At 38.0% G+C, this 12,425-nt stretch overlaps 1 protein-coding gene across 8 annotated transcripts in view; it reads right to left on the bottom strand.

Moving 5' to 3' along the window:
* MTAP (methylthioadenosine phosphorylase) overlaps positions 1–12,425 on the bottom strand; it is a 138,480-nt gene that overhangs the window by 72,046 nt on the left and 54,009 nt on the right. For 3 of the 8 annotated variants that reach the window (NM_001396044.1, NM_001396043.1, NM_001396041.1), the window contains exon 7: positions 9,645–9,767. The exons of 2 other annotated variants lie outside the window; for them this stretch is intronic. In NM_001396044.1, coding sequence (NP_001382973.1) covers positions 9,645–9,767 — 123 coding nt within the window. Of the gene's footprint in view, positions 1–1,988; positions 7,095–9,644; positions 9,785–12,425 lie in introns of those variants that run through there. 3 more of the 8 variants (NM_001396040.1, NM_002451.4, NR_173242.1) reach the window with 2 other exon arrangements.

Raw genomic sequence — 12,425 nt, 5'->3', positions numbered from 1 at the left:
AAATGATTATGAAATGGGTAGTTACTAGACTGATGTCCTTACTAGGTGTGAGGTATGGGGTCTGGTGCATAAGACAATGATCAGGGAGAAACATCTATGACAGTAGTTCTCAAAGTGGGACCAGCATCATCTGGGAACTTGTTGGAAATGCAAATTATCAGGCCATGCTCCAGATATCCTGAATCGGAAACTCTGGGGTGGTGCCATGCAACCTGTTTTAATAAGCCCTCCAGGTGATGACGATGCGTGCTCCCGTTTGAGAAGCACTATCACAGATGGTAACAGGAGGGAAAACAGTTTGGGAGAGAGCAGCAGAGGGGGGTCTTGAAAGTGTTCTGCTGATGCTTCAGTTCTGTCTGTGAAGAGGGAACTAAAGTCACCTGCTGAAAGTGAACATGGGGAGGTGTTTGGGAGAGCTGATGAAGGGTTTTAAGTAGGAAAGAAACGTAATCAGATTTTTATTTACACAAATATTTGTTGAGTTTGTGCTAAATACAAGGAAAAGAGGCTCCTAAACTGATGAGTTAAAAAAACAACTCCTGCCTTTACAAAAGCTTACAGAACAGTGAGGGAGGCACATGTCTGTAAGAGAATGACAGCCCCTAAACAAAGTTCTCATTGAAGGCTTTCTCCTAAGTAGTTAGATATACTTAACCCATTTAAGTATTACATATGTGGCATGGTTTTTTCAGTCCCTTCACTCTTCTCTTGGTGCTTTTTAGATAGTCATCCTCCTGAAAGCATTGTGCCCAGAACTGGATATAGTGCCCCAAGCACAACCTATCAGAAGTTAATGCCAAGAATCATATATTTTATCTCATGTTACATAAACTGCTATGAAGCTAGGTCTCCTCTAGTATCCATTCCTTAAAATATATCAATTAAAGGAACAGTTGCCTGTGGTGAAAAATTCAACCACTATAGAAAGGTATGAAGTAGACAGTTTAAGTCTCTTGATTCATCCCTCAGAAGCCATCAATAAGTTTCTTTCCAGAACCTTTCTGGAAATATGAAGTATAAACATCCTATCTATACATCACCACAAACTTATTTTACTCTATGTATTTTTGATTTCCCCTTTTGTCATGAACATTGTTCCATACTGGTGCATAAACAGATATCTATTCTTTTTGACAACTGCACATTACTTATTTGAATTGATGTACCTTAGTTTATTTAAAACATCCTATGACACTGAGAATTTTAGCCATTCCCAAGCTTTTGCCTATAACAGTTCCAAGATGCATTTATAGCTGCAAAATATTTTCAGGTATCAAATGTAACCTGCTGTTCCAGCCTTTTTCAATCTTTTTGGTTAACAAATTCTGTATATAAACAACTCAGGCTGTCGTCATCTTTTTTTTTTTGAAGTTTATTTTTATCTTAAAAATATATGTTTGTAAATGTGTCAAAATTAACCAAGCCCTGACACCTGACAAGACTTACAAGAAAGGAAAATCACAGACCAATCTGTCTCATGAGCATAGATGCAAAAATCAAACAAAATATTTGCAAACCGAATCCAGCATTATATAAAGGGGATAACATATCATGACTAAGTATGGTTTATATCAGGAATGCAAGATCAGTTTAACATTAAAGAATCTACATTAACAAAATAAAAGAGAAAAGTCAAGATTCTCTCAACAGATGCAGGAAAAAGTACTTGGTGAAATTCAACATGCATTCATGACACTCTTGGCAAAATAGGAATAAAAGGGATCTTCAATCTGATAAAAACATGAAACGGAAAAAACCTATAGCTAACATATTTTAATAGTGAAAAACTAGACGCTATCCTCTGCTGTTGAGAATAAGACAAGAGTAACAACTCACACACCGCTTCTATTCAACATTAGGTTGAAGGTCCTAGCCATTACGACAAAGCAAGAAGAAACAAAAGGTAAACTGTTGTTATTCATATATGACATGATTGTGTACACAAGGTATCCCTAAGGCACTTGCAATAAAATAAAAATAAGAACTACTACTGAACTAAGTGAATTTAATAAGATTACAGAATATAAAGTCAATATACAAAAATAAAACATATTTCTGTATACCAGCAATAAACTTAAAAATGAAATTAAAGTACTATTTACAGTAACATTTCCACAAAATATTTAGGAATACATTTAACAAAAGATATATACAAGACTTCTTCACTAAAACTACAAAATATTGCTGAGATAAATTTTAAAAGGCCCAAATAAATGCAGAAACATACCATGTCCATCGATTGAAAGGTTCAATATTGTCAATTCTTCCCAAATCGACCTAAAAATTCAGTGCCATTCCAGCAGATTTTTTCTTAAAGAAAAATGGAGAAGCTTAATATAAACTTTATAAAGAAAGGACCTATAGCCAAAACAATCTTGGAAAAGATTGCAAAGCTTAACAATACTTAATTTCAAGACACCATAAAGCCACAATAATCAAGACAGTGGGGTACTGGCATAAGAAGAGACACATAGATAAATGACATAAATAGATCATCCAGATTCACAGATAAACAGTAAATTTTGACAAGGGCACACAGGTAATTAAATGAGTAGGCAAGGTAATTAAGTGAGTAGTCAAAATTAAATGATTTTGACAAGGGCACACAGGTAATTAAATGAGTAGGCAAAGATTTCTTGGAACACACAAAAAGCACCAACCATAAAAAAAATTGATAAACTAGGCTTCGTCAAAATGAAAAACTTGTTCTTTGAAAGACATAATTAAGAAAATGAAAAGGCAAGCTAAAGACTAAGAATAGTCACAACACACATATCTGAAAAAGAGTGTATCCAGAATATATAAACAATTCTTACTATTCAATAATAAAACAAAACAATCTAATTTTTTAATAAACAAAAATATTTGTACAGATAGTTCACGAAATATGTGAATGGCCAATAAGCACATGAAAAGAAGTTCAACATCTTTAATCAGAAAAATGCAAATCAAAACCACGAGATATCAAAATATACCCAATAGAATGGCTAAAATTAAAAACGCTGACAATACCAAGCTTTGTCAAGAATTCTTACAAATTACTGGTGGGAGTATAGGCATTTGCACAAGTGAAAATATGTTCACAAAAAGACTTGTAATTTCATGCTTATAGCAGCTTTATTCATAAAATTCCTCAAATGGAAAAAATTCAAACATTCATCAACAGGTGAATAGATAATCAAATTGTAAGATAGGCATATGACAGAATACTACTAGGCAATAAAAAAGGCACAAGCTACAGATGCATGCAACATGAGTGAATCTTCAAAACAAAGAAATAATGCATGCCGAGATTGTCTTTCTGAAGAAATTCCCCTCATTCTTTGGGATCCCGAGGTTCTCAAAGGCATAGCTGGCAACAGGCCCTGAAACAGCTTCTTCTGGACTACCCTACTAGTCTTGGTAGATTTCCTCGATCTTTGGCATTCCTTCTTTTCTTCCATGGTCTTCATTTACTGCTGTCCTTCTTGCCTATCTTGAATTATTCTATACTATTATGAGGAGAACACAGGTTCTTCCATCCTGGAACTTCAGTTCTTTGCCTTGCTGGGCCAATATATACATTGAGCCAGATTGTGTGCACACTGGTAGTTCCAAGGTGCAACAATCTTCAAAACATTTGAGGAGTGTATTAGTCCATTCTCATGCTGCTGTAAAGGACTGCCCATGACTGGGTAATTTATAAAGGAAAGAGGTTTAATTAACTCACAGTTCCACATAGCTGGGAAGGCCTCAGGAAACTTACAATCGTGGCAGAAGGGGAAACAAACACGTCCTTCTTCACATGATGGCAGGAAGAAGTGTTGAGCAAAAGGGGGAAAAGCCCCTTATAAAACAAACAGGACTTGTGAGAACTCAGTATCATGAGAACAGCAGTGTGGGGGTAACCACCCCCATGATTTAATTACCTCCCACTGGGTCCCTCCCACAACATGTGGGGATTATGGGAACTACAATTCAACATGAGATTTGGGTGGGGACACCGCCAAACCTTATCAAGGAGGGACTCTGCAAATGTGGCAAGAACTCCTCATTTCGTGACTTCCTAACCCATCAGATACTCCTTGAAACCTTATCAAATTGTTTCACTGGATAAGTGCTGGCTAAATGCTTGTTGAGAAAATTAAAAACATGTTCAGGCCACTGTCACAAGAATGAATAATTATTTGGAAAATAGGTGTTGGTGGGGCCACAACCATGCCCTGAGGTAGCAGCCAGAGAAGAGGCTCCAGGAGCATCCTGTGGATGCCAGAGCAGGCTCACGTGGCACCTGCAGGGCAGCTGGCTCAGGGCAGGTTGGAGGTCACCTTAGTCACTCCCTCTTCAAGGAAGTTCACTGTCCTCCACTCCTGAGGGTGCCACCGTACCAGAGTTTCCTTCCTTGAAACAAGCCATGGTAGCTACCTCCAGCCCTGCACAGCAACTCGTGCTAGCGAAGGGGGCAGTGAACAGGGGCCAGGTCACAAGGACCATGACCCTCGGGGACCACAGGGCCAGGATGTCATTCTCAAAACCATGAAAATCCATGCCAAATATAACAGCAGATTATAAGGCCAACAAAGACTTCTATGTACATGCAAATCTATTAATCACTAAGGGCTAAGTCACTAAACTACAGCTTTCCCATGATGCTCACCATCCATCCTTTGCGGAAACCAAAATGCTCACAACTGACCATGGTGTTCACTTAGTATACTAGCTTAAATTAAAAAAAAAAAATTAGTACAGCATCACAAGTGAGAAGTGTTCCAGGAAGTGTTCTTCAACAATATCCTCAAGCATAAGGTATGAGGAAAATTATATTGGCTTTGCATAAGGAGTGAATGATTGAGAACAAAGAAAAGAGTATACTGCATTCATTTAGTTAGTCTGAAAATGATGTTGCTAGAGAAGGCTATTTAATCAAGAAAAGTACCTCTGCAAGTTGGAGAGAACTGTACTTTCTGAACATAGCAAGAAAAATGCCCATACTTTTGCCCTGACATTCTTAGACACCTATTAAGAATGAGGAAAAGTAAGGTACCATCTATGTATCATATTGTAGTGAAAACAATCACACGTTACCAGAGCTAGAGAAGCCTGGGTTCAGGTTCATTAAGTTCTCTACAGATTGCTAATGGATAACCAGAGTTGAAATTTAATACTACATCAGGAAGTCCAAGGGTCATAATCATACTTGACCCAAATGGCTCACACTAATGAGTCATATTAATACTGGAGGGTAACTGTTTTGTTTACAATTAGCAGCTTATTATCTTGAAGTCAATCTCAGAGACACAAACAAACACATTGACTTTACAAACTCTTTAAATAAAAGGTTCTGTATCTTGATCCTGAAGTATCCTGTAATAGCCTACAGTGAAAAGAAAACAATTCTGAGGAAAAAGATCTCCCCATGATAAAAAACTGAAGCAAACAAAAAGCATTTCACTCTTTTTTTTTTTTTTGAGACTGAGTCTTACTCTGTTGCCCAGGCTGGAGTGCAGTGGCACAAGCTCGTCTCACTGCAAGCTCTGCTCACTGCAAGCTCCACCTCCCAGGTTCACACCATTCTCCTGCCTCAGCCTCCTGAGTAGCTGGGACTACAGGTGCCCACCACCACGCCCAGCTAATTTTTTGTATTTTTAGTAGAGACGGAGTTTCAACGCATTAGCCAGGATGGTCTCGATCTCCTGACCTTGTGATCCACCCGTCTCGGCCTCCCACAGTGCTGGGATTACATGGATGAGCAACTGTGCCCGGCCAACAAAAAGCATTTCTATAAAATAACAATAAAAAAAGAGTTAAAAAAGCAAGCTTCCACTTTATTAAAAAGCAAAAATTACCAACTCGTATAAAATAATTTAACTCATAAAAAGGAGAATCAAACATTACTTTTTAAAATATCAGATACCATAAAATGTGCATTTAGTCTTTTAAATAGTTAAACTTTCAGTTAAACTATTAAACACCTAGCTTTTCTCAGAAAGCTGTTGCAAACCCAAGTACTGTTCTGACTGTACAGAAATCAATGATCCTCTTCTTTAGCAGAATAAAGATGTAACTCCCTTAAATGACATTCACCTTAATATTACCAACTTAAATTCTGCTTCATTACCAGAAACAGTGTTTTCAAGAACTGGATCTTTCTAAATCCACTTTTATTTTTACAACAACTTTACTATTTGATTAAATTCACTGTAGAAAAATGTGAAGACACAGAAAGATTCAAAGAAAATAAAAATTATCCCAGTATCCCTCCCCCAAATACAATAACAAGGTTATATATATTTCTTTCTAGTTTTTTTGTATATTTACATAGCATTTTAAAGCAAAACTAGTACTATAAAATGCTACCATATCCTTTTTTCACTTCATATATAGAGCAACCGTGTCTTTTTAGGACATTGAAATATGCAAAAAGGATTTTCAGTTGGCTGATTCACAATCTAATTATAACTAAGACATAATTTACCTCCAATTGCAAGGGATTCAGATTGTTTCAATTATTTATTATTATAACTATCATTATTAAACACCCTTCTTTATATATAATTCTTTGTATGCATCTCTGATATGGTTTTAAAGAGAAATTGCTAGATGTAGAGTTCCCAGCACAAAGTACGTCCGTATTTTTAAGTCTTTTGATGCATTTTACCAAATTGCCCTCCAGAAATACTGTACCAATTTACAGTCGCATCAATAAATAACCAAAGAGTCCCATTTCTTCCTCACATTCTTTGGCAGTATAGGAAAGTAGAGATTACCCTCCACCCTTTATTGTTGCAAATTTAATAGGGGGAGAAGAGAATGGTGGGTTTTTTTTTCCCCCTTAAAATGTAATATTTTTTCCCACATGTTTACTAGTCATTTGCTTTTCTTCTGTATTTTGAAGTTGTCTAAATCATTCAGGAGTCTCTAATACACACAATGTCTTGTCTTTCTTACAACATACTCTTTGATAGGCAAGGGCATGAAAGCTGCATGTCTTTCCCATATTTTTTTCAAGTTAAGCAGGAATTCCCAAAATGACTGGAATTAGAATGTCTTCTTTTCTCCTGGGCAGCCATGCTACTTTAATGTCTTGGTAATAAAACAGAAAACTGGGCCATATTCTGAAAGGAAGAAAGGAGGCAGTGATATTCACATGTTGGCGTAATTACTGAGATGTTTGTTAAAAAAAAAAACAGATTTTGATTTTCTAGATCAAAGTGAGGACGCAGGAAACATACACTTTAAATAAATTCTACAGAAAATTTTCAAGTTCACTAACCAGATGTGGAACTTCGGGTACTCTAAACTCTTGGTTCCTCACCTCCCTTTCCTGTAAAGTGAGGTTAATAATGCTTATCTCAGAGCATTGTTCTGATAATCACTTATTGCCATACCAGCCCCCAGCCTGGATTATTGTTTATGCAACCTCTATCCCTTATCCTTACCCCACTGTAAGAAATCATTGAAATTTTTATGTGTCTATATCTCCAAACACCATAGGATCATCATCACAACTCTTTATCTTTGCAAACCAGACCTTGACGTATAGCAGGTGCTAAGTGTTTCTGAAATGACTTAGTGAGGGAATGAATGATACACATTTCAGTGCTAACAATACTACCCCAGAAAAAGGGATTATTAGTATGGTGTTCCTTAATGCTGTAGCATGAAGACCAAGATTCTCAGTTTTGTCTAGAGCAGGAATTCCTCATTTTCTCTCTTTAGGTTTTATATGTGTGTGTGTGTATATGTATGTATGTGTGTATATATATACACATATATATAAAATCCTCCTTTGAAAATCCGATGAAAGCTACGTAAACTAAGCCTCTTTAAAAATGCATACAAATAAAATCACACAATTTTACAATTTCAGAAGCTCCAGGAAAGGAGAACACTGATTTCTACTCTTCAAGCATTTTTACTTAAAAATAAAGCTAAAACAGTAAATATATTATTTGAGAAATTAACTTCAAGCTTTTGAAAGACTATGGTCAAAGTGGGGTTAGTTGGGAGACTTAAAAAAAATAAACTTGGCTGGGCGCAGTGGCTCATGCCTGTAATCCCAGCACTTTGGGAGGCCAAAGCGGGTGGATCACGAGGTCAGGAGTTCAAGACCAGCCTGACCGACATGATGAAACCATGTTGGTCATCTACTAGGTTTAGTCTCTACTAAAAATATAAAAACTAGCTGGGCATGGTGGTCCATGCCTGTAATCCCAGCTACTCAGGAGACTGAGGCAGGAGAATCGCTTGAACCAGGGAGGCAGAGGTTGCAGTGAGCTGAGATCGTGCCACTGCACTCCAGCCTGGGTGACAGAATGAGACTCCGTCTCAAACAAACAAACAAATAAACAAACAAACTTCTATGACATTTTGCTAACAATAGTACAAGTAGGAGTCACATTTCTGGCAAACCAACATGCGTTTTTTTATGCAAGCTCCAGTTGTGCCATTTGACTGCACTCAAATGTATTTTTTCCCTTTTAATTCTAATAATAAGGGTTTCCTGCATCTCTATATATTATGATAAAACACTTCATGGGGGAAAGGAGTATCATTTATTCATTAAATAACATTTAGGTCCTAGGTATACAGTGTTGAAACCAATAGATTTGTTTCTTAGTAGGGAAGATAAGCTACAAATTCCAACATTCTTGACCGTCAGTCCTAACTGCTGAGAGACACCTTAGTTACAGTGGTGTGCTGGATTCTGTTCGTACCAGCTTGCAAGAGCTGTGTGTATCACTTCTCAACTCATCAGTGGCTTCACATTAGTAGTGTGAAACTGGCCGTACTGGAGCACTTGTACCACGTAAATTAGCAAACATTACAAATCAAGGCTCTGCCATGCCCAGTGATTGGCAGTCACTTACCACCATACAATGTCCTCATTATACTAAAACTGTGGCTCTCTCATTACAGAGCTCCTAGGTGGTAATTCAGGTAAGGAGGGCTTAGATCAACCTTTCAAATCCTCTCTCCACCACCACCAGAAGACCCAAAAGTACAGGTGTATTCTAGGAGACTTTGGGGTATGGTCCTCTTTGGATAGTAGGAGAATGCAATATCTGATCAGTTTGAGACAAGTCTTTCCCTATGTGGTTAAGAAGAGTCACAAAGTGCCCAAAGAAAAATCATGCAACTCCGAGTTTATCAGTTAGTTTAAATTATATTCTGAGAATACTAGAGTTGGTTTATCATTAATTACTGTTTAGTTTGATGCATGATTAACCTTAAGCAGATATTTTCTGGCACCATTTTGGTACTATTGTCAGAGTTTTGGCTTTAAAGGATTGCCACAAATTTGAATGGATCTGCCAAAGAGAAAATAGCTTTGTCAACAATGTAAGCGATATGCAGAGAAAGCACTATCAATCTTCTGAAGTAAGACTTAGGGATACTACAGAGCAGGGCAATGTGAAGAATCTGGTACACGAGATAATAAAACTCTCTCAACCCTAGCCTTCAGTGGTCTTGCACTACCAGCCAGAAAATAAGACTACTCAGTTTCACAAGTGGTTGGTATGGTAGTAGTAGATGTCACAAAAACTTGTTGAAAACATCTAGGCTGGCATAAAATACATGAGGACCAAAGGTGAAATGCAAGTAAGAAAAGAAGACAATAGAGAGTCTACAGACATGCCTGATTGTCCATGGCTGACACTTACCTTCAGGTTATGGAGGGTTTCTGACCATTCTGTGGACCCTATCTGAGGTATGGTAGTGAGCAGTAAGCTTTTGGCTTTATTAGCGTTTTCTTTCAGGGTCTTTAAGACCCGGTCCACCGAAACCTAGAGAAACAATAGCACTGGAGGTTACTAGAACTTAAAATTCCACTGCTTGTCATAAAACATTTTTCTGAGCTCCAGCCTTGCTACAGCCTAAATGTTTGTGTCCCCTCAAATTTATCTGCTGAAACCGAATCCTCAATGTAGGGTATTTGGAGGTTGGGCATTTGGGAGGCAATTAGGTCATGAAGGCAGAGTCCTCGTGGATAGGATTAGTGATCTTACAAAAGAGGCCCCAGTGCTATTCTTCGAGGGCCCCTTCCACCGTGTGAGGTTCCAGTGAGAAGATGGCTGTCTACCAGAAAGTGGGCTCTCACTAGACACCAAATGTGCCAGTCCCTTGATCTTGGACTTCTCAACTTACAGAAATGTGAAAAATAAACTTGTTATTCAGAAGCCACCCATGCTATGGTATTTTGTTACAACAGTCCAGACAGACTAAGAAAAACCTGACTTGTGAAGTCTGTTTATTCTACGTTTAAACCCCTGAGTTCAAGCTCGGCATTTATCAAGATGGTCTTAGTCCTAGCACGGAGGTCCTAGAGAAACTCAGTGACATCTCTGAAAAGCACTGATGAATTCTGGTATGGTTTGGATTTGTGTCCTCACCAAATCTCATGTCGAATTGTGGGAGGTGGGGCCTGGTGGGAGGCGGTTGGATCATGGGGTTGGATTTCTCACGAATGGTTTAGCAGCATCCTCAGGTGCTGTTTTACTGATAGTGAGTTCTTGTGAGATCTGATTGTTTAAAAGTGTACAGCACCTCTCCTCTCACTCTCTCTTGCTCCTGCTCCCACCATGTGAGATGCCTCGCTCCTTTTGCCTTCCAACATGATTGGAAGTTTCCTGAGGCCTCCCCAGAAGCTGAGCAGATGCCAGCATCACGTCCCGTACAGCCTGTAGAACCATAAGCCAATTAAACCTCTTTTCTTTATAAATTACCCAGTTTTAGGTATTTCTCCATAGCAATGTGATAACAGACTAATACAGATTTCAATATGGTATCGGAGAAAATATCTCAGATGTATAATGGGTTAATATGGTCTAGAAAGATGTGGCTGTTCTCTTCATGTCCACAGCCGAAGGGATTACAATGTTAAAACTGTTGCTACACTGGAAAACCAAACAGGTACGTTTCTCCTTAGAAAATTATTCCAGCTACTAAAGAAAAATATTATGGAATTAAAATACCACCATTTTTATGGCTCCCAGTGAATTAATGGATTGGCTGCTAACATCACAAACCGAACCAAACAAAATCCCAAATAAACCACTCATTATGTGCTTCCTGATGAAAAAATAAAATGCTACCTTAAGACACCTGAATCTGATTAAATTTCTAAATCTAGCTACCAATTTATAGACAATACAGAGGACAGAGAAGCCTATTAAACTACTCCAAGGAGATGATTTCAGCAATTCAGACTGTGGGAAACTCAACAGGACAAATGATCTGGTTCCTTCATAAAAAGCTTGCAACCAAAAGAATAATTTAAGGCATTTAACCAGAAATTTAAATTCTGGCTGGGTATATTAAAGAATTATTATTGGAGAATGAAAATGATAATGTGCTCATGTTAGATACCTCCTGAAGTGTTTATGGATAAAATTATTGATGGGAGTAATAATCATATTGGTTGTAAGTTAATATAATGGTTGAAGCTAGATGCTGAATTCATGGAAGCTCGTGCTATTAGCTACTTCTGTATATGACTAAAATAGCTTCATAAGAAAAAGTTGAAGAAAGTGAACACAAAATTACCATCAGAGATAGAGTACTTGACATGCCTTCCTATGCTTCGAAGAAATCCAGCATTCAGGGACACAAGGATTACATCTTTCTATTTCCTTAAGCATAGTCCAGATCCCACCCACAAACACCAAGATGTGTATAGGAAAAAATGATGAACACTGTAGCAGAGGGGAGTTTGCACTACTATGGGAACACAAAGCAGTGACAGGCTGGGTATCTGCCAGGCACATGTAAATGATATGTTTTAAGCTGAGTCTTTGAATGCAGACATGAAGCATCCAAGAAATTTGCCTTGTATTTACTCATTTCCTTATATATTTTTCCTGTGACTGGTTATTTCTGTATAGACACTGACCTCCCTTCTCTTTGTTCCAGCTGTTGGGCTTCACCCAAAATGTCCTTCCTACTGACCTTCCCAAAATAAACCCTCTCTTCAAGGTGCAGTTTAAATGCTTTTCCCTGATACTACCCACCTCTCAGGCCCCCCACTCCATCAGAGCCACCATCTGATGACCACCCTCTTACAAGCCAGCATTATACTAGCTTTTTTACATATCTCATTTGGTTTAATTCTTCCAGTAATCTTTCAAGGTCTAACTGACTAAACAATGACTAAACAACCTCCACTCCTCACCCAGAGCCCTGGCTTCATTCTACAGAAGAGTAAACAAGTGAAATAACTCGCCCAATGTGACAAGCAAATGGAGCAACTCAAATCTGAAGATGGGTTTAGAGAACTCCAAATCCTTTTTGCCATGCCAGGCTGCAACACACGATTGGCTGAAATAATGCCATCTTTCTGTGGGCCTTCCTTGTAGCATTTAACACTGTCTTCAAGCCTTTCCACTTACAGAGCTTAATTTCTCTGCTTTTCAATAAAGTAGCTCCAGCTGACTATTTCCCCAACC

Source organism: Homo sapiens, chromosome 9 (assembly GCF_000001405.40).
Source record: "Homo sapiens chromosome 9, GRCh38.p14 Primary Assembly".
NCBI lineage: Eukaryota > Metazoa > Chordata > Mammalia > Primates > Hominidae > Homo > Homo sapiens.
Note: the sequence above shows the minus strand (reverse complement) of the source record. Positions and strands in the feature narration are given on the sequence as shown.